General features: G+C 41.6%; 1 long non-coding RNA gene across 1 annotated transcript in view, besides 1 other annotated feature; it reads right to left on the reverse strand.

The window, feature by feature from the left end:
- LINC01344 (long intergenic non-protein coding RNA 1344) overlaps positions 1-26,640 on the reverse strand; it is a 110,117-nt gene that overhangs the window by 5,076 nt on the left and 78,401 nt on the right. The window lies entirely within an intron of this gene.
- Positions 20,868-21,440: an enhancer, noted in NCBI's record as "OCT4-NANOG hESC enhancer chr1:182199023-182199595 (GRCh37/hg19 assembly coordinates)". NCBI's record gives its function as "activates a minimal SCP1, AML or CMV promoter by ChIP-STARR-seq in primed H9 embryonic stem cells {active_cell/tissue: H9 hESC(primed)}" and the evidence as "EXISTENCE:reporter gene assay evidence [ECO:0000049][PMID:30033119]".

Consider the following 26,640-nt stretch of genomic DNA (forward strand, 5'->3'; position numbering starts at 1 on the left):
TGCCACGCCAAGCTCTCCCAGGCAAAGCTCCTTCCAGGGCAGGACTCCATGTGTGGAAGTAAGTAGCACATTTGCCTATGGTTGGGAGTAAAGTCTAATAAGAGAGACTAGAACAGGGCTTTAATTACCTGTTCTAAGCACCTCTGCTTATCTCAACTGATTTACCTCTGACCACTCTGCCAGGTGACCACTCTGTAAGGTATTTCTCTGGCCTTAAATGACCATCTCTTACAATACCTGCCCTCCATCCTTTCCCCACCTTCCTTACAAATATAAAGTGGTGGACACAGGAGCGTGGACTTAAAAAGTCAGACATTCCTGGGTTTACTTATTAACTGTGTGACTTTGGGTATGCTTCTGAACTTCTCTGAGCCTTGGTCTCCTCCTCTATAAAAAGGAGGATAATAATCAGGCCCTCACAGACTTGTTAGAATAATTAAAATAAAGCTATAATTTGTCTCATATAGAGTGGGCACTAAATAAATATTTATTGTTGATTTACTTGCTGCTGTTGCTTGAGATTGGTGTGAGCTCTCCCTCCAGAGTCCACTAGCCCTAGATCAATAGAAAGAGAGCATTTTAGGGAAAGGGACCTTAGCATTCATCTAGTCCACCTTCATTTGTGAAGAAACCCCAGGTTCAGAGATACTTAATTGCCTTCTCCACGATTATATGCCTTACTAGTTCCAACCTTCAAATAAGGATGTTAGTTCGTTGGAGTGTTAGAAAAGAGCTCTGGCTTTGGAATCAGGCCTATGTGAATTTGAATTCCACTTGCCAGCTTGGTGACATCAGACAAGTTAAAGTTACTTGACCTGTTTCTGCTTCACTTTCTCATGTGCAGCCTTGGGATGATAGAGCTAGCCTCGCAGGATGGTGGGGGGGGGGGCTAAGTGGGATACTGCACACCAGGTGCCCAAGGGCATCTGTCACTTGCTGGTGCTCCTGCTGGTTTCCTTGTGTCATTAAAACCTTTCAGGGCCACTTAGAACAGGAAAAGCCCAGTAGAAAGAAATAAGTAGAGCTTAAAAACCATAATGGGCTTTGCCTAAATGTTGAAATAGGGACATTTAGGAATAACTTTTGCTTACCAATCCCCAAATGCCAAATTTAAAGCAGAGTTTGGTAGACTGATCAGTGAAGAATTCCTAGTGGCAGGGCCAAGAGCAAAGATTGGGAGATCATCTGCAGGCTAAGCTAAAGTGAGGGAGACTGGGGTGTGGGGAGTCAGGGAAGAGGATCCTGAGGGTTTGCAACTCATCTTTATAATATCTTCTAAAACAATTTTGAAAGCCCTCCTGGTTTCCAGGCACAGATTATATTTTGAATTAGCAACACAAAGTGAGAGGTGGCTGAAAGATGGGTGGCCATTCTTCAGATGCAGCCCCTGCAGTGGTTTTGAAATGAAAAGCATGGGCATATTTTGCCATATAAAGTGAGTTCTGATGGGTGGATTTTTTCCAAGATGAATATGGACAAGGGCACTGAGATGCTTTGCAGCAGGCTCAGCCCCTGAATGATCCAATTACAGGTTTTGAAATGGACCTAGAGGCAGAATTTAGAAACCCAAACTGGAAAGGCAGAAGTAATTTTGCAACTAGACAAATGACTGATTCCAAAAAGTCCTCTGAGGATAAGAGGGTTTGGAAAATGCCATGTAGGCAATTTTCAAATGTCACATGGGAGCCAGGATTGACTTTTCTAGGGATAATTAGGGTGATTCTAGGGGTAATTAGGGTGAGGTTGATTGGGGTCTGAGAGAGGACTACTGTATTGCGCTTGCAATTCACTCAGATACCTGGGCAACCTCTGCAATGGAAAGTAATGACAAGTACCATCAGCAGAAGCAGAACTGTGGCCCAATGTAACAAACATAAACAATAGAGAAATTGTACAAAAGTGTGATATTCTTAAGGACTGGATCTAGTTTTTTGTGACCTTGTATTCCCAGTGCCTGGTGGAGGGTATGCATTCTAAAAAATATTTAATTAGTAAATTAATGGCTTAGGTTGTCTTTTAAGACAAAAAGTTCTCCAGGATAGAAAGTATTCAAGCAGACAGTATTCAAGTATTGGCAGCAACTATATAGAGGTTTTCACGAATTTTTTAAATGTGCCTGATAATTACTGGCATTCTTAGCAACCCTAAGACTCTGGCTGTTTATCACAGTGCACTAACTCTCAGAGATAATCGGATCTGAGCTGAACACTGGGGTCATGATGCAAGGGACTAAGGGAAACAAACCAAAGATTTGTGAAGGAGGACTAACCAGTCTAACCTTCTATTTTCTCATTGAGTCTGTGGTCTGAAATACTTTATTTAGGCAAAATTAGATATGCACCCTCACTACCCCATAGGTACAGATCATTTCTGAATTTTCTGTCTGCCCTCTCATGTCCACTAAGGCTAAGGCTGCTGACTGATCACAAACTCATTCCCTCTTCTTCCTGGGCAAACACATATTTGACATCTTCTAGTCTTCCTTGAGTTAAATGTGGTCACATGCCTGAGTCTGAGTTCTGACCAGTGGAATCTGAGCAGAAGTGATGTGTGCCACTTCCAGGCTTCTGATAAAAGCCTCCCACTTGCAATCTCACATGCTCTTTCCCCATCTGCTTGTGGGATGACAATGCTGGCAGCCATGTGTTGAAGATGGCAGAGCTATGGCTCCCTGAATTCCCCCATCCTTCCCATGCATTAGACTGGTGGGTGAGACAGAAACAAACTTTTATTGTGTTATGCTGTTACAGCAGCTCACATACCTTAACTAACATATTACCTGTCTTTGTCTTCTTTTTTTTTCTTTGTGATTTCCTCTCTGAAGTTATAAAGAACTGAGAGGTGGGTGAGGATGCGACCATGGTCAGAAGCGATTGTTGAATGGTGAAGATGGGCCTCTCTCAAGTGGCTTTACTCTCTTTCCTCTGCCTGGGATGTTGGTTTGGGTGTCTCCCTCCTAATGCAGAAGTATATGTAAGGGAGCCGAAGCTTCGTAACAGATGAGCACCTGTGGAGGTGTCAGGCCCTCTCTTCCCTGCTGCAAGTTTCACTTGTCATCTCCTAGCTTTCTGGGCACCAGCTCCTCCACTCTTTTTCACAGCTTGTGGAAGGTGGGGAAGGAAGGCAGGGATGCCCTCTTTGGGCTACAACCATGAGACTAAAGGCCTTGGTTTTTCTAACCTCTTTTATCCTTCTCCTCTTTTGTGATTCTCCAGCAACCTCAGACACAGAAATGATAACACAAGGAATCTCAGGTATAGGCTACAATAAGAAAGAAAATTCTAGGCATCTGGCTTAGTTGGAGTATTGCTTTGGCTACTTTAATTTTCCCTCAGTCTTGTTTAAAGTTTTTTGATTCTGGATTCTTTCTGTTAAGGGGCCAAAGTTCATTGTTTCCTTGCATAGTCTTCTTTTTTCTTAATTAAAAAAAAATTTAACTGGATAGTAGGTAGGGACAGTGGGAATCTTGTTTATCCATTCATTTTATTTTTATTTAATTTTTTTCCTTCCTTGCATAATCTTTTATGTTGTCCTGCCTCCTAAGTCTACAGAAGACCCTAAGAGTCTGTTTTCTCTTCCTTTGTTGACCATGACTTCCCTTCCGTACAAAACCAAGGCTCTTCCTTTCCCTGAGATGTGGAGTAAGCTAATTGCTCCATTTGCCCTATATTTTGCCCAAACTATTAAACAGGCAGATTCTAAATGATCTTGATTCCATTTACAGTACTGATATTCTGCTCTAAATTTTTGGACATCTCCCTAATTGACGCTTCTTGGGAAGCCCATTCTAGCAGGGCCTGTTACACATCCCCTAATATCTGTCTTCCTCCTACTCCTCAGCAGTAGGAGCCCCATGGCTAATTAGAACAAAAACTACATATGATAGATCCCCTTGCAGACAGGTGTGGCCATAAGACTAAGTTCTCATCAATGGAGTGTAAGTAGATGGCTGGCCACCATCTTGGATCATGATACAAACTTGGCAATGGAAGCCATGCTGGACAGAGTAACAAGATAGAAGAAACTTGGGTCCCTGACCCTCCCTTTTAGCCAATCTCTAGACTTTCATGTGAAAGAAAAATAAGCCTCAAACTTGCTTGTCCCTGTTATTTAGAGTTTCCTGTCACTTATAGTTAAATTAATTCTATTCTACTACTCTACTTGCTGATCCCACCTTCCTTCCTTCTTCCCTCCCATTTTTTTCTCCTTCCATCCCTTCTTTCTCTCTTCTTTTTTAAAGTAATATTGCATTAACTCAGCAGGGATCTTAGTTGTTATCTCACTCAGGCCCCTCACTTCAAAATGAGGAAATTGAGGATGCCAGAGAGGGGAAGTGACTAAGGTGATGAGGCCTGAACCAAAGACTCAAACCCAGACCTCCTGACTCTCTGGCCCTGTGCTTTTACTACGCCACCTGCCCTGGCTCTTCTTGGCACACAACATCTCCCACAAGGATACAGCATTTTTGGTCCTCCTTTCTTCAGGTCAACTTAAAACCCTAATGAAATAATATTTACTTTTTCAGCCTTGGTGGATGAAGAAGTAGGAAGACCTTAGGTTAAACTACTTTTTCCCTTTAGTGTAAAAACTGATTACAGGCCATTACCAGGCTTCTATCCCTTTTGGTCACTTATTCCCCTCAGAAGACACTGCTCTTGAGGGTGGCCTCAGGTCTAGAGGCTCTAGGGAGCATTCAGGTGTCAGCCCATAGCTGCCCTAAGGGAGAAAGGGCAGGTGGCTACTGCTAACTGTTCCTGGCATGGGTGGCACCCAGATGATGCAGGTTTTTGCTGACTGGGTCCTGACTCTACCCAGCCCTCCAAGACAGCTCAACCCCTCCTCTGAGCTAAGAAGATGCTGCCCTGGATCATGCACCTGGGTTCCCATATGTCCTCTCTGCAGAGAGTGAGCACCCCTTCCCACTGTCCATGGAAGAAGATGTTTCTTCGTGACGGCATGGTAGAGGGAGTGCCGGAAAGGAAAGAATGTCTGCTATACAGTTTGTCTTAAACTAATGCCAGGCGCAGTGGCTCATACCTGTAATCTTAGCACTTTGGGAGGCTGAGGTGGGCGGATCACGAGGTCAGGAGATCAAGACTATCCTGGCTAACATGGTGAAACCCTGTCTCTACTAAAAATACAAAAAATTAGCCGGGCTTGGTGGCATGTGCCTGTAGTCCCAGCTACTCGGGATGCTGAGGTAGGAGAATCGCTTGAAACCAGGAGGCGGAGGTTGCAGTGAGCCAAGATTGTGCCACTGCACATCAGCCTGGGCAACAGAGCGAGACACCATCTCAGGACAAAAAAAAAAAAGAACCTACCCCATAAAACAAAACAGAACAATATTTTAAGCACAATGCCTACTGGTCCGACCAAAATCAAGGGAGCCAATGCCCTGACACTATAAACCTCTATTCATTCAGGAAATGCTAAATTCCTGTCACCTGAGCATTCGGCATCAAGCAGAAAAAACAGGTTTCTGAAATCCTGGAACTTGTCTTTCACTGGTAAGCTATAATTACTCAAATAAATGCCATAATTGAAAACAGAGGTAGACACTGCAAAGAAAAAGTGCAGGGCACAGTAACAGAGCATAATTAGAGAAACTAACTTGGGATTGGAGCAAGTTAGGAAGGAACATTTAACTTGAGACATAGAAGACAAGAAAGAACTATCCAGATGTTGAACATTTCAGACAGCAGGAACAGCTGAGGTAAAAGCCTCATGGTGGAAAAGCAGATAAGAAAGTCTAGTACAGGCTGATTATCCCTTGTCCAAAATATTTGGGACCAGAAGTGTTTCAAATTTAGGGTTTTTTTTTGAATTTTGGAATATCTGCATATCCATAGTAAGTCTAAACACAAAATTCATTTATGTTCCAAGTACACCTTATACACATAGACTGAAGGTAATTTTATACAATATTTTTAATGGTTTTGTGCATGAAACAAACTTTTGACTGTTTTGACTGCAACCCATCATATAAGGTCAAGTGTGGAATTTTCTATTTATGATGTCATGTCAGCATTCAAAATGTTTTGAATTTTGAAGAATTTTGGATTTTGGATTTTAAGGTTAAGGATCCTCGACCTATCTAGCAAAGGCGGGTGGCTGGAGACTGAGGCAGAGCCAGACCACATAGGCCTAACGGATCATGTTGAAGACTTTAGATTTCACTTAAGAGTGAGGTAAGGATATGAAATATATATCTATCTATATATATATACACACACACACACTCACACACACACACACACACACACATATTTCTTTTTGAGACAGAGTCTCAATCTGTGCCCAGGTGTGGTACAATGGTATGATATTGGCTCACTGCAACCTCTGCTTCCCGGGTTCAAGCGATTATTGTGCCTCAGCCTCCCAAGCAGCTTGTATTACAGGCATGCGCCATCATACCTGGCTAATTTTTGTATTTTTAACAGAGATGGGGCTTTATCATGTTTGCCAGGCTGGTCTCGAACTCCTGGACTCAAGTGATCCACTCACCTCCACTTCCCCAAGTGCTGGGATTATAGGCATGAGCCACCACGTCTGGCATGAAAGATTTTTGACTACAGAGTGACCCGTTGTGATTTATATTGTAAAAGATGCCTCAGAACCAAGTGTTTCTGGAGAGGTGCCCCCCAGTTAACACAATGAGGCAACCAATCAATCAAAACATCCTTTAAAAATATTTCACAAGTCTAGCTAATAGGAAGAATGCATCCCTCCCATTCACTGGTCATGAATTAAGCTGTAAAATAATTCAATGTAGGTTCCCAGAGAGAGCTGCAAAATTTGCATTCTAACTCCACTGCCAAAATCAGCAAGGCAGGAACAGTCTTTTAGAAGTATCAGGTCCCAATTGTAAGTGGACAGCCCAAGTGCATATGCAGACAGCATGGTTTTATTACACTAACCAGGAAAAAGAGCTAAACACTAACTACAACAAAACAAAAATTATTGTCCTTGCATGGGACAGCCTCCAAGATTTAATTGGTTGATATCCAATAACTCTTTATGGTAGATGAATCATACAATTTCCTGAGAGTTCATTTAAGTCTAATTCATTATAGTGGCCCATGAGGAAGCCATGCTACTTGGAAGTAGACATTCCACACAAGTCTTACAAATGTTTTTCCCAAGCTGTGATGGCTCAACTTGAAATATTCATGCCATTCTAGCCCAGCAAATTTTGGAGTTTTCATTAAGCATAGATCCTAGCGGGTCACCTGTATTTAGAAGAAGCATGACTTCCTTCCTCATCAGATTATTGGTAGGCTCCTTTATTGCTATAACACATGTCCTTCCACCCACTTATCTAGTTTCCCAAGCATATGCATTTGTCTTTAATTAGCAAAATAGAACAGCTTCCTGGAAGTCTAACTTCAACTCTCAAGTCATACCAAAAATCTAGCTGAACTTATTATATTTATTAAGCATTTAGTTAAGAGTCTGAGAAACATGATATCTATCTATACCTCTAAATATTTTAATTTTTATTGTCAGATTAGCCTGGAATACCAAATACCTGTAAACTTGAACCTCATCACCTTACCATCTCAAATAAATGCCTTTACTATATTTATGTTTTTGTGGAGGGGGTTGGCTTTTATCAAAAATTGTCATGAGAATTCAACTTTTTTGTCCACTCTGAGATTGATATAGAGAACCTTATATCACTTAATACCTCCTCCTCTTAGATAATGAGAATTATTCTATATCAATCCTTCTGTCTCTTTTTCTTTCTTCCTTTTTGTTTCTTTTCCCTTTCTTAATCTTTTTCTATGACAACCATAGTCTTGGTCAAGTTTTATATTTAATCCCAGCTACTGCTTTGCCTCTTATGGTGGCTGGAAATTAGTTTTCTCTTTCTTAATTGTACATCCCCATTTAAAATCTTTATTTCATTAATCTGAATGTTTCCAGTTCATGAAAAAAGTCATTTAAAAACAGGATGCAAACAAATTAAACTAAATATGTTTTTCTTATGTTCTGAAGTATTTATCTGCTTTGGATGGATGGTGAGTTGTGAGCACATACCAGCCAACAGAAGGTTAGGATAAAAGATTTGATCTACAACACTAACACAACAAAACAAAAATGATTGTCCTTGGATGGAATAGACTCCAAAATTTAATTGGTTGATATTCAGTAACTCCTTATGGTGGATGAATCCTACCTTTTCCTGAGAGTTCATTTATGACTAATTCCTTCCAGTGACCCATGAGAAAGCCATACTATTTGGAAGCAGACATTCCATTCAAGTCTTACAAACATTGTATGAGTCCAGCTAACGGAATTCAGAATGATTCGGAGAAGCGCTTTTTATTAACCTACTTAAGACAGGCAGTGTTCTCTCTTCTTCATAGATTTACCTTTGAGGACAGGCACTGGTAAGAGCATTGAAAGAGGAGTCAGGTTACACAGGTTCTAATAGCTGGCCTCTAAATAGCTATTGATCATGGGTAAGTTCTTCCACCTTTCTGGGACTCATTTTCCTCATCTGTAGAAAAACTCAGACTAGAGAAATACGAGGCTGCTTCCAGGTCTACCATCTTATGGTTCTCTAACTTATTCTATAAAAGGTATAGAAGAATGGTTCCTGATCTCAAGAAGTTTAGATTTCTTCAAAGGAGGTAAAATAGCAGCCATGTCCCATTTCTGAAGAATCACAAATGTACAAGTAGATCTGCATATTGAAAGTTGAAGTTTATCAGTCAGGGATGGTGGCTCACACCTGTAATCCCAGCACTTTGGGAGGCCAAGGTGGGTGGATCATTTGAGGTCATGAGTTTGAGACCAGCCTGGCAAACACAGTGAAACCCCAACTCTACTAAAAATACAAAAAAAAAAAAAAAAAAAAAAAAAAAAGAAAGAAAGTTGAAGATTATCAATATGACAATGGGTTGAGGTAAAAATATTTTGCCTTTGTTCTTTTTTTCTTTAGGATAGTCTAATATAATTTGAAAAAAAATAAGATTTCATGAATTAATCACCCTCAGCATTTTTAGATTCAAACAAACAAAAAAACTTCTGTTATTCCTCCTACTGGGTGTGAACTTTCTTGCTAGGAGCATTGTGTCCTGTACACATAGGACAAGGAAGGGCAGGACTGGACAAATATTGATCTGAGTGCTAGTTGAGATGAGCTGTAAAAAGGATTACTCAGAATGGAAATATGTAGTTTGAAAAGTGTAAGGGGAACACACTCATACACTGATCATAGAATTTTAACTCCATATAAACTTATGAAAGGAAGGAGAGCAGTAAACAGCAAAAACCTTAAAAATGTGTGTTATGGGCCAGGCGCGGTGGCTCATGCCTGTAACCCCAGCACTTTGGGAGGCCGAGGTGGGCGGATCACCTTACGTCAGGAGTTCAAGACCAGCCTGGTCAACATGGTGAAACCCCGTCTCTACTAAAAATACAAAAATTAGGACTGGGCTGGCAAGATGGAAGAATACGAACAGCTCTGGTATGCAGCTCCCAGTGAGATCAATGCAGAAGGCGGGTGATTTCTGCATTTCCAACTGAGGTACCTGGCTCATCTCATTCGGACTGGTTAGGCAGTGGGTGCAGCCCACGGAAGGCAAAAAGAAGCAAGGTGGGGCATCACCTCACCTGGGAAGTGCAAGGGTTTGGGGAACTCTCTCCCCTAGCCAAGGGAAGCCATGAGGGACTGTGCCCTGAGGAATGGTACATTCCAGCCCAGATACTATGCTTCTCCTATGGTCTTTGCAATCCGCAGACCAGGAGATTCCCTTGGGTGCCTACGCCATCAGGGCCCTGGGTTTCAAGCACAAAACTGGGCAGCTGTTTGGGCAGACACCAAGCTAGCTGCAGGAGTTGTTTTTTTGTTTTTGTTTTTGTTTTTCACACTCCAGTGGCACCTGGAATGCCAGTGAGCACTGTTCACTCCCCTGGAAAGGGGTCTGAAGCCAGGAAGCCAAGTGGTCTAGCTCAGCGGATCCCACTCCCATGGAGCCCAGCAAGCTAAGATCCACTGACTTGAAATTCTCACTGCCAGCACAGCAGTCTAAAGTCGACCTGGGATGCTCCAGTTTGCTGGAGGAAGGGGCGTCCACCATTACTGAGGCTTGAATAGGCGGTTTTCCCCTCACGGTTTAAACAAAGATGCTGGGAAGTTTGAGCTGGGTGGACCCCACTGCAGCTCAGCAAAGTCACTGTAGCCAGACTGCCTCTAGATTCCTCCTTTCTGGACAGGGCATCTTGAAAAAAAAGGCAGCAGCCCCAGTCAGGGGCTTATAGATAAAACCCCCATCTCCCTGGGACAGAGCACCTTGGGGAAGGGGTAACTGTGGGAGCAGCTTCAGCAGGCTTAACTGTCCCTGCCTGCTGGCTCTGAAGACAGCAGCGGATCTCCCAGCACAGCATTCGAGCTCTATTAAGGGACAGACTGCCACCTCAAGTGGGACCTGGACCCCCGTGCCTCCTGACTGGGACACATCCCAGCAGGGGTCAACAGACACCTCATACAGGAGAGCTCTGGCTGGCGTTTGGGGGGTACCCCTCTGGGATGAAGCTTCTAGAGGAAGGAACAGGCAGCAATCTTTGCTGTTCTGCAGCCTCCGCTGGTGATACCCAGGCAAACAGGATCTGGAGTGGATCTCCAGCAAACTCCAGTGGACCTGTAGCAGAGGGGTCCAACTATTTGAAGGAAAACTAACAAACAGAAAGGAATAGCATCAACATCAAAAAAAAGGATGTCCACTCAGAAACCCCATTCAAAGTTACCAACATCAAAGACAAAAGGTTTTTCCCCAAGAAGAAGGGGAAAAACCAGCACAAAAAGGCTGAAAATTCCAAAAACCAGAACGCCTCTTCTCCTTCAAAGGATCACAACTCCCTGCCAGCAAGGGAGCAAAACTGGACGGAGAATGAGTTTGACAAATAGACAGAAAGAGGCTTCAGAAGGTGGGTAATAACAAACTCCTCTGAGCTAAAGGAGCATGTTCTAACCCAATGCAAGGAAGCTAAGAACCTTGAAAAAAGGTTAGAGGAATTGCTAACTGGAATAACCAGTTTAGTGAAGAACATAAATAACCTGATGGAGCTGAAAACAGAGCACGAGAACTTCATGAAGCATACACAAGTATCAATAGCCAAATCGATCAAGCAGAAGAAAGGATATCAGAGATTGAAGATCAACTTAATGAAATAAAGTATGAAGACAAGATGAGAGAAAAAAGAATGAAAAGGAACAAACAAAACCTCTAAGAAATATGGGACTATGTGAAAAGACCAAACCTATGTTTGATTGGTGTACCTGAAAGTGACGGGGAGAACGGAACCAAGTTGGAAAATGCTCTTCAGGATAGTATCCAGGAGAACTTTCCCAACCTAGAAAGACAGGCCAACATTCAAATTCAGGAAATACAGAGAACACCACAAAGATACTCTTCAAGAAGAGCAACCCCAAGACACGTGATTGTCAGATTCACCAAGATTGAAATGAGGGAAAAATGCTAAGTGCAGCCAGAGAGAAAGGTCGGGTTACCCACAAAGGGAAGCCCATCAGACTAACAGCAGATCTCTCTACAGAAATCCCAGAAGCCAGAAGAGAGTGGGGGACAATATTCAACATTCTTTTGCGGCACTATTCACAATAGCAAAGACTTGGAACCAACCCAAATGTCCAACAATGATAGACTGGATTAAGAAAATGTGGCACATATACACCATGGAATACTATGCAGCCATAAAAAATGATGAGTTCATGTCCTTTGTAGGGACATGGATGAAATTGGAAATCATTATTCTCAGTAAACTATCGCAAGGACAAAAAACCAAACACCACATGTTCTCACTCATAGATGGGAATTGAACAATGAGAACACATGGACACAGCAAGGGGAACATCACACTCTGGGGACTATTGTGGGGTGGGGAAGGGGGGAGGGATAGCATTAGGAGATATACCTAATGCTAAATGACGAGTTAATGGGTGCAGCACACCAGCATGGCACATGTATATATATGTAACTAACCTGCACATTGTGCACATGTACCCTAAAACTTAAAGTATAATAATAAAAAAAAAGAAAAGAATTTTCAACCTAGAATTTCATATGGAGCCAAACTAAGCTTCACAAGTGAAGGAGAAATAAAATCCTTTACAGACAAGCAATGCTGAGAGATTTTGTCACCACCAGGCCTGCCTTATAAGAGCTCCTGAAGGAAGCACTAAACATGGAAAGGAAAAACTGGTACCAGCCACTGTAAAAACATGCCAAATTGTAAAGACCATCGGCACTATGAAGAAACTGCATCAACTAACAGGCAAAATAACCAGCTAGCATCATAATGATGGGATCAAATTCACACATGACAATATTAACCTTAAATGTAAATGGGCTAAATGCACCAATTAAAAGACACAGACTGGCAAATTGGATAAAGAGTCAAGGCCCATCAGTGTGCTGTATTCAGGAACCCCATCTCACAGGCAAAGACACATGTAGGCTCAAAATAAAGGGATGGAGGAATATTTACCAAGCAAATGACAAACATAAAAAAGCAGGGGTTGCAATCCTAGTCTCTGATAAAACAGACTTTAAACCAACAAAGATCAAAAGAGACAAAGAAGGGCATTACATAATGGTAAAGGGATCAATGCAACAAGAAGAACTAACTATCCTAAATATATATGCACCCAATACAGGAACACCCAGATTCATAAAGCGAGTTCTTAGAGACCTAAAAAGAGACTTAGACTCCCACACAATACTAGTGGGAGACTTTAACACCCCACTGTCAATATTAGACAGATCAACAAGACAGAAAATTAACAAGGATATTAAGGACTTGAACTCAGCCCTGGACCAACAGACCTGATAGACATCTACAGAACTCTCCACCCCAAATCAACAGAATATACATTCTTCTCAGCACCACATTGCACTGATTCTAAAATTGACCACATAACTGGAAGTAAAACACTCCTCACCAAATGCAAAAGAACAGAAATCATAAGAGTCTCTCAGACCACAGTGCAATCAAATTAGAAGTCAGGATTAAGAAACTCACTCAAAAATGCACAGCTACATGGAAACTGAACAACCTGCTCCTGAATGACTACTGGGTAAATAACGAAATGAAGGCAGAAATAAGTTCTTTGAAACCAATGAGAACAAAGACACAACGTACCAGAATCTCTGGGATACAGCCAAAGCAGTGTTTAGAGGGAAATTTATAGCACTAAATGCCCACAAGAGAAAGCAAGAAAGATCAAAAATCCACATCCTAACATCACAATTAAAAGAACTAGAGAAGCAAGAGCAAACAAATTCAAAAGCTAGCAGAAGACAAGAAATAACTAAGATCAGAGCAGAACTGAAGGAGATACAGACATGAAAAACCCTTCAAAAAATCAATGAATCCAGGGGTTTGTTTTTTGAAAAGATCAACCAAATAGATAGACCACTAGCCAGACTAATAAAGAAGAAAAGAGAGAAGAATCAAGTAGACACAATAAAAAATGATAAAGGGGAGATCACCACTGATCCCACAGAAATACAAACTACCATCAGAGAATACTATAAACACCTCTATGCAAATAAACCAGAAAATCTAGAAGAAATGGATAAATTCCTGGACACATACACCCTCCCAAGTCTAAACCAGGAAGAAGTTGAATCCCTGAATAGACCAATAGCAAGTTCTGAAATTGAGGCAGTAATTAATAGCCTACCAACCAAAAAAGTCCAGGACCAAACGGATTCACAGCCTAATTCTACCAGAGGTACAAAAAGGAGCTGGTACCATTCCTTCTGAAACTAATCCAAACAATAGAAAAAGAGGGAATCCTCTCTAACTCGTTTTATGAGGCCAGCATCATCCTAATACCAAAACCTGGCAGAGACACAACAAAGAAAGAAAATTTCAGGCCACTACCCCTGATGAACATTGATGTGAAAATCCTCAATAAAATACTGGCAAACTGAATCCAGCAGCACATCAAAAAGCTTATCCAACCACCATCAAGTTGGCTTCATCTCTGGGATGCAAGGCTGGTTCAACATACGCAAATCAATAAACATAATCCATCACATAAACAGAACCAATGACAAAAACCACATGATTATCTCAATAGATGCAGAAAAGGCCTTTGATAAAATTCAACACTCCTTCATGCTAAAAACTCTCAATAAACTAGGTATTGAGGGAACGTATCTCAAAATAATGTGAACTATTTATGACAAACCCACAGCCAATACCATACTGAATGGCAAAAAGCTGGAAGCATTCCCTTTGAAAACTGGCACAAGACAAGGATGCCCTCTCTCACCACTCCTATTCAACATAGTATTGGAAGTTCTGTCCACGGCAATCAGGCAAGAGAAAGAAATAAATGGTATTCACATAGGAAGAGAGAAAGTCAGATTGCCTCTGTTTGCAGATGACATGATTGTATATTTAGAAAACCCCACTGTCTCAGCTCAAAACCTCCTTAAGCTGATAAGCAACTTCAGCAAAGTCTCAGGATACAAAAATCAATGTGCCAAAATCACAAGCATTCCTATACACCAATAGTAGACAAAGAACCAAATCATGAGCGAACTCCCATTCACAATTGCTACAAAAAGAATAAAACACCTAGGAATACAACTTACAAGGGATATGAAGGACCTCTTCAAGAAGAACTGCAAACCACTGCTCAAGGAAATAAGAGAGGACACAAACAAATGGAAAAACATTCCATGCTCATGGATAGGAAGAATCAATATCATGAAAATGGCCATACTGCCCAAAGTGATTTACAGATTCAATGCTATCCCCATCAAGCTAACATTGACTTTCTTCACAGAATTAGAAAAAACTACTTTAAATTTCATATGGAACCAAAAAAAGAGCCTGTATAGCTAAGACAATCCTAAGCCAAAAGAACAAAACTGGAGGCATCACGCTACCTGACTTCAAACTATACTACAAGGCTACAGCAACCAAAACAGCATGGTACTGGTACTGGTACCACAGCAGATATATACACCAATGGAACAGAACAGAGACATCAGAAGTAACACCACACATCTACAACCATCTGATCTTTGACAAACCTAACAAAAACAAGCCATGGGGAAAGGATTTCCTATTTAATAAATGATGTTGGGAAAAGTGGCTAGCTATATGCAGAAAACTGAAACTGGACCCCTTTTCTTACAGCTTATACAAAAATTAACACAAGATGGATTAAAGACTTAAACATAAGATTTAAACCATAAAAACCCTAGAAGAAAACCTAGGCAATACCATTCAGGACATAGGCATGGCCAAAGACTTCATGACTAAAACACCAAAAGCAATGGCAACAAAAGCCAAAATTGACAAACGGAATCTAATTAAACTAAAGAGCTTCTGCACAGCAAAAGAAACTATCATCAGAGCGAACAGGCGACCTACAGAATGAGAGAGAAACTCTGAAATCTATCCATCTGACAAAGGGCTAATATCCAGAATCTACAAAGAACTGAAACAATCTTACAAGAAAAAAACAACCCCATTAAAAAGTGGGCAAACGATATGAACAGACATTTCTCAAAAGACATTTATGCAGCCAACAAACATATAAAAAAAGCTCATCATCACTGGTCATTAGAGAAATGAAAATCAAAACCACAATGAGATACCTCCAATGCCAGTTAGAATGGTGATCATTAAAAAGTCAGGAAACAACGATGCTGGAGAGGATGTGGAGAAATAAAAACACTTTTACACTGTTGGTGGGAGTGTAAACTAGTTCAACCGCTGTCGAAGACAGTGTGGTGATTCCTCAAGGATCTAGAACTAGAAATACCATTTGACCTAGCAATCCTATTACTGGGTTTATACCCAAAGGATTATAAATCATTCTACTATAAAGACACATGCACACATATGATTATTGCAGCACTGTTCACAATAGCAAAGACTTGGAACCAACCCAAATGCCCATCAGTGACAGACTGGATAAAGAAAATGTGGCACATATACACCATGGAATACTATGCAGCCATAAAAATGAATGAGTTCATGTCCTTTGCAGGGACATGGATGAAGCTGGAAACCATCATTCTCAGCAAACTAACACAAGAACAGAAAACCAAACACCACATGTTCTCACTCATAGGTGGGAGTTGAACAATGAGAACACACAGACACAAGGAGGGGAACACACACTGGGAGCCTGTTGGGGGTTAGGGGGATAGGGGAGGGATAGCATTAGGAAAAATACCTAATGTAGATGATGTGTTGATGGGTGTAGCAAACCACCATAGCACGTGTATACCTATGTAACCAACCTGCACGTTCTGCACATGTATCCCAGAACTTAAAGTATAATAAAAATAAATAAATATTTTTAAAAGTATAAAAATTAGCCGGGCGTGGTGGCACGTGCCTGTAGTCCCAGCTTTGTGTTAGAAACATTCCAATTTCACTCTTTTAGTTACTCTGAAATATGTAATAAATGATTGTTAACTATAGTCACTATTATGCTATGAACACTAGATATTATTCCTTCTAGCTGTATATTTGTACCCATTAGCCAATCCCTCTTTATCCCTCCTCCCCACCACACTTTCCAGACTCTGGTAACCATCATTCTACTCTTTCTTTTCTTTTTTTTTTTTTTTTTAATACAGGGTCTCACTCTGTTGCCTAAGTTGGAGTACAGTGGCATGATCTTGGCTCACTGTAGTCTCAACCTCTCGGGCTCCAGTGATCCTCCCACCTCACCCTCCTGAGTAGCTGGGACTACAGGCACACACCACCTCACTGGCTAATTTTTTTATATTTTTTGTAGAGATGGGGTTTCACCATGTTACCCAGGCTGGTCTTAAACTCCTGGGCTCAAGCAATCTGCCTGCCTTGGCCTCCCAAAGTGCTGGGATTATAAGCGTGCACCACCGTGCCTGGCCTCTACTCCCTATCTCTATGAGTTTATTTTTAGCTTTCTGTGTCTGGCTCATTTCACTTAACGTCATGTCCTACAGTTCCACCCATGTTGTTACAAATGACAGGACTTCATTCCTTTTATGGCTGAATAATATTCCATTGTGTATATGTATCACATTTTCTTTATCCATTCATCCATTGATGGACACTCAGGTTGATTCCATATCTTGGCTATTAAGAATAGTGCTGCAATAAACATGGGAGTACAGATATCTTCTGTTTGATATACTGATTTCCTTTATTTCGGATATACATCCAACGCTGGGATTGATGGATCATGTGGTAGTTCTATTTTTAGTTTTTTGAGGAATCATCATATCATACTATTTTTGAGACAGTCTCATGCTGTCACCCAGGCTGGAGTGCAATGGTGTGATCTTGGCTTACTGCAACCTCCACCTCCCAGGTTCAAGTGATTCTCCTGCCTTTGCCTCCCAAGTAGCTGGAATTACAGGTGCCTGCCACCACACCCGGCTAATTTTTTTGTATTTTTAGTAGAGACGGGGTTTCACCATGTTGGACAGACTGGTCTCAAACTCCTGACCTCTGGTGATCTGCCTGAGCACTTGGCCTCCCAAAGTGCTGAGATTACAGGCGTCATCCACTGTGCCAGGCCCGTCATACTGTGTTCTATAGTAGCTGTACTACTTTACATTCTCACTAACAGTGTATGAGGGTTCCCCTTTCCCCACAACCTCTCCAGCATTTGTTATTGCCTGTTTTTTTGGAGGAAAGCCCTTTAAACTGGAGTAAGATGATATCCCATTGTAGTTTTAATTTGCATTATTTTGATGACTAGTGGAGAATTTTTTCATATACCTGTTAGCCATTTGTATGTCTTCTTTTCAGAAATGTCTATTCAGCTGTTTTGCCCATTTTTAATAGGATTGTTTGTTTGCTATTATTTGACCTCCTAACATTCTAGTTATTAATCTCTCATCAGATGGGTAGTTTGCAAATCGTTGTTTCCTTTGATACGAAGAACCATTTTAGCTTGATGCAATCCCATTTGTCCATTTTTGTTTTGGTTTCCTCTGCTTTTTAGGTCTTACTCAAAATCTTTGCCAGACTAATGCCCTGGAGTGTTTCCCAATGTTTTCTTCTAGTAGTTTCATAGTCTCAGGTTTTAAGGTTAAGTCTTTAATCCATTTGGAGTTGATTTTTGTATATGGCAAGAGATAGGAGTCTAGTTTCATTCTTCTGTATGTGGATATCCAGTTCTGTTAGCACCTCTTACTGAAGAGTCTGTCCCTTCCCCAGTGTAGGTCCTTGACACCTTTGTCAAAAATGAGTTGACCGTAAATGCATGATTTATTTCCGGATTCCCTATTCTGTTCGTCTGTCTCATTTTATGCCAGTACTGTGCGGTTTTGGTTATTCTTGCTTTGTACTATAATTTGAAATCAGGTAATGTGATGCCTCCAGCTTTGTTCTTTTTGCTCAAGAGTACTTAAATGGCTATCAGTATTTACTTCTGGGTGGTAGGATTCTGTTTAATTTTATTTTTACTATCTATGATTTTTTTTCAAATTTTTACTTCAAGCAATTTTATTTTATACTTAGAAAAGTCTAACTTTACTTAATAAAGGAATAAAGGAAATAAAAAAGGTAGGTTGTGGGTCCTATTGTAATCTATCATTAGACAAACAATTACTGAACATCTATAAGTATTAGGAACTGTTCTAAGTGCCCAGGATACATAGGTCTCTGCCTCATTGATTTTACATTCCAATTTGTGTGTGGGAGTATTAGACAATAACTAATAACTGTAATAAATAAGTTAATGATTTAATATATTAGAGGGTGATATTTGCTATGGGAAAAAAAAACTGAGCTGGGTAAAGAAGAAAGAGAATGTGATATAGGGGGATCAGAGCACTGCAGCTTATAATTGTAACTAGGGTGGTCAGGGCAGACCTTATTGAAACATAGGATATGGACATGTAGATGAGGTCTTGGGGATACTGGCGCATATCTGGTGAAAGACCCCCAAAGACAGAGCCATGCCCATACTTAAGAGCCAGCAAGGAGGCCAGCCAGGTGAAAAAGGTGTTGAGCAGGAAGAGCCCAGCAGGAATCTCAGGAGGTTTGTTGATTTTTTGACACAGGTGTCTGTAACATACAGGAGCCTGCCAAGAGTCCCCAAGCCTGTTGACCACTACCCACTGTCACTGACCCTTATGGAGAGAGACAATACAGCACAAAGAAATTTGGGGGTGTATCTCAGATGGCTGTGAAATCAAAAACAAAATGCCAAACAGCCATCCACTTACGATCCACTGAGGGTCATTTTATCTCATATTCCAGTTGAAAGTAACGACCTTAATACTGAAAGGGAAGTGCGCACTTCATAAACAAGTTGAAAAACAGGTTTGATTTTCCTGGACCATGGCTTACAATAATAGAGAAATGGGTTCTTGCCAAGAGACAGAACAGGAAGAGAGAGTTTGACAGGAGGTTCATTAACTGATCAAGAGGGCTTTACATTAACATTTGATGAGGAGAGAGGAAAAGATTTAGATAAAACTAATAGCTAGTTATGATGGAGAATCTTGGGTGTTGAAACAGAAAGAATAACAATAATGGTGAATGTCTCCAGCTGATCGCTGGAGAAAATAAGAAAGGTTTGGTAGCAAAACATGATTTCAGATATGGGCTAAGCATGGATAAAGAAATGAATGTGATACTTCATGTAAAAATAAAAGGGCCGGGCACGGTGGCTCACGCCTTTAATCTCAGCACTTTGGGAGGCCGAGACGGGCGGATCACGCGGTCAGGAGATTGAGACCGTTCTAGCTAACACGGTGAAACCCCGTCTCTATTAAAAATACATAAAAATTAGCCGGGCGTAGTGGCGGGTGCCTGTAGTCCCAGCTACTCAGGAGGCTGAGGCAGGAGAATGGCATGAACCCGGGAGGCGGAGCTTGCAGTGAGCCCAGATCGCGCCACTGCTCTCCAGCCTGGGCGACTGAGCGAGACTCCGTCTCAAAAATAAGTAAATAAATAAGTAAAATAAATAAAAAAATTTTGGCTGGGCACAGTGACTCATGCCTATAATCCCAGCACTTTGGGAGGCCAAGGCAGGCAGATCACTTGAGCCTAGGAGTTCCAGACCAGCCTGGGTAACATGGTGAAACCCCATCTCTTCTAAAATTACCAAAATTAGCCAGGTATGGTGGCATATGCCTGTGGTCCCAGCTACTCAGGAGCCTGAGGTGGGAAGATCACTTGAGCCTGAGAGGCCAAGATTGTAGTGAGCCAAGATCACGGCAGTGCACTCCAGCCTGGGGAATAGAGCGAGACTCAAGTCTCAAAATAAATAAATAAAAATAAATAAAATAACAATAGCTTACACTTATTGAGCACTTAACATGTTTGATCACAGTAATAAATACTTTAAATAATTATAAAAGCTAACATTTATTGAGTACTCACTATGTGCAGAGAATTACCTTTTTTAATCCTCCCAATTCTATGAAACTATCCACATTTTACAGATGAGGAAACCGAGGGTTAAAGAGGTTACATAGCTAGTGATAAAGAACCCAAAAGCCCAACCTAGATTTATCTGACTCCAACGCTCACTTCTTAACTAGGCATCTTGAGAGCGGTGAAGGGTAGCCATGCTGTTTTAAAGACCATATATTAGGTTGATGCAAAAGTAATTGCGGGGTTTTTTTTGCACCAGCCTAGTAGTTAAGAAAGAGAATTCCAGGAAGTACTAGTCACATATTCAACTTTAGAAAAGTGGATTTCATAAAAAATAAACCAAAAATGAATGATCCTGTGGCCAATAACTCCAAAAGATAAGATATCTCAAGGGGCTTAGAAGATTGTAAAAATTAATGTTTTGTTAATATAAACATAAATAATTCAATCTTCTTTGTGTGTATGTGTGTGTGTACATGCAGAAAATAATATGGAGAAATTAACAATTTGGCTGTCCAGGGCACTCGGATTTTAAAAGAAAGCACAAGAGATACAACAAAGACCTCCAAATAACGGTTTCAGAAAAAGCTGAGATTTGTAAAAATCCTAAGGACAACAAAGATAATTGTTTCGGTTGTGTTCAGAGCAGGAAGTCTAAGAAAAAGGCCAGGCTAAGTGCTTGAGGCAGATGGTGTAATATTACAAACAGGCACCACAATGCTAGAAACCAGCTGGAGATCATTAAGAGCAATTGCCATCAAGCCTCTATTTTCTTTTTTGATGGAATTACCAAACAGGTAATGTAGCATAGCTGGATCTGAGCAAAACATTTTTCCCAAGCTCTCACAGTAGTCTCATGGGCAAGATGTGGGAACACAGGTGGCTTCCTAACTCACTAAGCAGCTAAGCCCAAAGAGGCTTAAGTGTACTATGCTAGACTGAAGGCGAGTTGTGCCTGTGTCCTGTCCTCTTCAATACTTGCATATCAAATTTGTTCTGAGAGTGCATGTTATCACTCACAGATGACACAAAACTGGGAGAGGTGCCTAATGTGTTAAGTGACAGACTCAAGTGGCAGAAGTATCTGGCAGGCTGAAGCTAGCAAGACAAAATTTGATGCATATTTATGTAAATGTCAGTATTCACCTGAAAAGAACCTGGGAATATTAACTCACAGAAAAACAAGGAATCAAGGACAGGGCCTGCCAAAGGGTCTTTGCAGTCTTTAGCTGTATTCATACAAGTATGGTATCCAAATTAAGGAAGAACACATGTATATCCATACCAGGGAATACTATTCAGCGAGAAACAGAACAACTTCAATGAATCTCCAGAGAATTGGGAAATTATGCAGAGTAAAAAAAAAAAAATCAATTCCAAAACATCACGTGATGTATGATTCTGCTAATGCAATATTCCTGAAATGACAAAATTATAGAAATAGAAAACAAATTAGTGGTTGCCAGGGATCAGGGATGGAGTGGTGAGAGGGGAGGTGGAGGTGGGTATAAAAGGGCAATATGAGGTATCTTTGTAGTGATGGAAATGTTCTGTATCTTTTCTTCTTTCTTTTTTTTTTTTTTGAAACGAAGTCTTGCCGTGTCACCCAGCCTGGGTGCAGTGGTGCAATCATGGCTCACTGCAGCCTCGACCTCCTGGGCTCAAGCCATCCTCCCACCTCAGCCTCCCAAAGTGCCAGGATTACAGGCATGAGCCACTGTGCCTGGCCTGTTCTGTATCTTGACTGTGCCAATGTCAATATCCTGGTTGTGATATTATTCTATAATTTTGCAAGATGTTACCACGGGAGGAAACTGGATAAGTGATACAAAGGATCTCTCTATAATATTTCTTACATCTGCACATTAATTGGCAATTATCTAAAATAAAAATTCAGTTAAAAAAATTTTTTTTGTAAATTGGGAGCGTGGGTGGAGGATACAGGTAGGGGAGTAGGAGGAGAGTGAATAATCTAGATAAGCTTCCCATGAAACATTCATCCTAAAGAAGAAAGCAGGCACGGTACCATCGACCTCTCAGACTGAAGCATCCAAGGCAGCAGGAACTGTGCCCATCTTCTTCGTCACTGGATTGCGAGTGCTTCAAACTACACTGATGTATCGGGGATTAAGACAAGAGTTCCTCTCTACCCAAATAGTAGCATTAAGAGATTAAGGAACAATGAGTTGTCCCACTCTGCTTGATTCCTCAGTTTTGAGCAACAAAGAATTCATCCAAAATATGCACTTGACTCCATTTGGTTCCTGAGTTGACTAAGAAACTGACAGAGACTGAGAGGGTAGGAATAAAGCCCCAGAGGAAAGATACTGAGTGGAACTTTACAGAATTGCATGGCTGTTAAATGCATCCATCCCAAGCCCTCCCCCTGGAGAGATAAAAACTGACCTAGGTGTCTGAGTTAACCTCTCTCACATTGGAATCATGTTAACACTGCTCTGGGAGCCTCTAACAAAGTGTAATTCCATGAAGAGAGAGCCACTCTCTCCTGTTCTGCCATAGACCACCAAATAACCTTGACATCCCGGGGAATGGAAGTGAATGCTACCAGAAAAAGGGTGGGGCCTGTGGCTACAGGAAAGAGGACTGCTCTAGGGAGGTGATGGCCACATAGTGGGGTCTGGGCAGTGATCCAGGGCAGTATGACATTCATCAGGGCCCCAGAACCAGGGAAGCCATCGGAAGGGAAACTTATTCCTGAGCACACACGTGAAATACCTCTTGGGGACTCCGAGGACCAATCAAGAGGGAATTTGCAGGAGACTGAGCAGGCAGAAACCAGAATCAGGTAATTGGGACATTAGAGTTTTTTTTTAAATTGATGTTGCTATATACAATATTGCTCCTAATTTTCACTGGAGATTTAGATTTGGGATCAGAAGACCCCAACCCCAAGCTTCAGGCTTTTTGTCTTTTACACTGGCATGGTAATGTCTGCTCTGCCTACTTCGCAAGGCTGTTACTTTTTTTTTTTTTTTTTTTTTTTAAGATACAGGGTCCTGCCGTGTTGCCCAGGCTGGAGTGCAGTGGCTATTCATAGCACACCACAGCCTAGAACTTCTGGGCTCAAATGATCTTCCTACTTCAGCCTCCCAAGTAGCTGGGACTTTAGGAGCATGTCACAGCACCCAGCTTTAGACTATTACTTTGAGAATTACATGAAATAATATAGGTGAGAAAGCTTTTGAAATCAGCAAATACTATTTGAATGTGATTTTTGATATCATTATCTTACAAATGCTTCATTATCTCCACTGTTACTTCCCTCCTATCATCTTTTCTTCTGAAGGCTTAATAATTTCTAAGCCCCCTTTTTGTGCCCTCTATAAAACACTGTGGTATTTGAGGTCCTGTGTGTCCTGAAACTATTTTGAGGTGCACATATGTGGTGGTCTTTACCTTTCTGAAATCATTTAACAGTTGTCCTGGGACCAGAATCTTCTGCAATTCCTTGGCCCCATGCCCAGGGCTCTGCTAAGGGTCTGAACATGGGCATGGGGCTAAATGTGGAGAGAGGAGCCAGTTACCCAGGGGCTAGAAATTAGAAAATGTGCTCAAGGTTTAGGCTCCTTGTATTAGTCCGTTTTATAACTGCTATAAAGAGCTGTCCAAGACTGGGTAATTTATAAAGAAAAGAGGTTTAACAGACTCACAGTTCAGCATGGCTCGGGAGGCCTCACAGAAAACATGCAATCATAGCGGAAGACGAAGGAGAAGAAATGTACCTTCTTCACCAGACTGCAGAAAGGAGAGCAATGGAGGAAGATCCCCTTATAAAACCATCAGATCTCGTGAGAACTCACTCACTATCACGAGAACAACATGGGGGAAACCACCCATATGATTCAATTACCTCCACCTGGTCTCTCCCTTGACACCTGGGGATTATGGGAATTCTAATTCAAGCTGAGATTTGGGTGGGTACATAAAACCTAACCACATCACTCCTGATGGTCCAATTCATAAAATTTTACAAGACCATTACCTGGAAATTAGGGGGTGGTAGCAAACCCTGAAAATGAGGGAGCTGAGAGGCAAGAAATCAGAGGCCCTACATCTGGAACCACCTCCTCCACAGGACCCTGCTTCTACTTCCAGAGCTGATGCCACAGGTTGGGACTTCCTGCTCCAGGTTCCAGCCAGGGAAACAGAGCCAGCTCCTCACACATGCTTCAGGTAGGCAGAGGAAGAGCAAAAAAGAGACCCCCATACCTTTTATTCCAGCAGCTCTGGGGAAAGGTTTACTTTCAAGGAAAATAGGGAAATGCACTAATTCAGAGTCATCAATTAACTCCGTCACTTACAAGATGTGGGACTCTGGCTTCAACCTACTCCTCTGAAACAGGAATAGTGTGCCTATTCAAAATATCTTGCAGGCAGCAGATCAAACAATCGGTTGTATCTTTTTTTAAAAAATCAGTTGAGAGTTAAAAAACAAAACAACTAAAAATTGTTTTGTAAATTTCAAGCATACAAATGCAAAGGATATGTATTTCCTATAGCCTAGGATCTCCAGGTCCCTAATAAGGGAGGCCAGCTATGATTGTTTGCTGGGATGCATGTTTCATTTAGAGATGCAGCTGAATAAGTCTTGGTTTTTTTTTGGTTTGTTTGTTTGTTTGTTTTTTCAGTATTAAAAGACCTTTCAGGCCAGGCGTGGTGGCTCAAACCTGTAATCCCAGCACTTTGGGAGCCCGAGGCAGGTGGATCATGATGTCAGGGGTTCAAGACTAGCCTGGCCAAGATGGTGAAACCCCGTCTCTACTAAAAATACAGAAATTAGTTGGGCATGGTGGTGGGCGCCTGTAATCCCAGCAACTCGGGAGGCTGAGGCAGGCAATTGCTTGAACCCGGGAAGCAGAGGTTGCACTGAACCGAGATCGTGCCACTGCACTCCAGCCTGGGTGACAGAGCAAGACTCCTTCTCAAAACAAACAAACAAACAAACAAACAAACAAACAAAAAACCTTTCAGAAACACATTGGTACTCCTAAGCTTTTACATATGTTCATAAGCCTTTAAATTAGGGTGGAGGAAAAATTATCTCAATTCCTGAAAAGATAGACATTAAAAGGAACCACCAAATAAAGGCAAACCCATTTTCCAGGTGCTAGAAAAGGGTGAGGAGTGGTACAATCTATGCAAGGCCAGGTGTGTGAGAAAACCATGGTACCTGAAAGCCTGGGTAAAAGAGCTGAGAATAGGATACAAAGGGTTCAGCCCCCCAGGTAGCCAAATGCCGCTGCAGGCTAGGGCTCCCTCCCTCCCTCCCTCCCTCCCTGCTTCGCTTTCTCCCTCCCTCTCTCCTTTTTCCCTTTCTTTCTTCCTTCTGTGGAGTTCCTAAATCATGGTTTCTTGAGAAACAGGATATTGGAGCTTCAAGGCAGAGGTCCCCAACATCTTAAGGAGCCTGGAGGTCATGATTCCTTGCCAAGGTGGGAATCACACTCCATCTTGGACTTCCGAGGCTAGGCAGAGTTAGGCATTTTCTCATCTGGGCTCCATAGGCCTGGGCCCACAGTTTTTTTCAGCATCTCTCTCACTGCACTGTAGCCATTTATTCACCAGAATGCATCCTTCCTGACCTGCGAGCTCTTCCAGAGCATGAACAGAGGAGTATAATGGTTTGGCACCCCGCCTTTGGTGCCAGAGAAACCTAGGTTCACACTCTGATTAGACCCTTCAGGGGCTGTGTGATTTTTCTGGGAGAATGAAATTAGATACCATCTATAAAAATCTGGACTTATGGTATAACCAATATGTGGCAGCTGCTATTACTTTAACTTGTTCTTCTGTATACAAATAATAATAGCTTTATCTGTTAGGATTCAGTGCAGGAAACAGAAATTGCTTCACTTACATTGAGTAGGAAGGGATTTAGTCAAGGGATAATGTGCTTGCAAAACGGTTAGAAGGGCTGAAGGAGCAGGTTCTAGGCTGGGGCTCACAAAGCAGTATAGAAATTAACCACCACCTCTAGGGCACCTCTGGAGCTGTGCTGGAATCCAGAAGTGACTGCTGCCTCTGCTACAATTCCTGCCTCTCGATACCCAAGAAGCTGGAGAATGGACTCTGGAACTCTGATGCAGAAAAACCTCCTATTTCCCCAGCTTTGCTGGCCAGCAAAATGGCTACAAAGGGGTGCAGCTTCTGCTTTGCACATCTTGCACTGAGTGCCTCTACTTGGCAGAAGACAGCTTGCTTCTAGAACCCCGACTGCAAAGGAGCCTTGGAATCATG

This window comes from Homo sapiens, chromosome 1, assembly GCF_000001405.40.
Source record: "Homo sapiens chromosome 1, GRCh38.p14 Primary Assembly".
In the NCBI taxonomy this organism is placed as follows: Eukaryota; Metazoa; Chordata; class Mammalia; order Primates; family Hominidae; genus Homo; species Homo sapiens.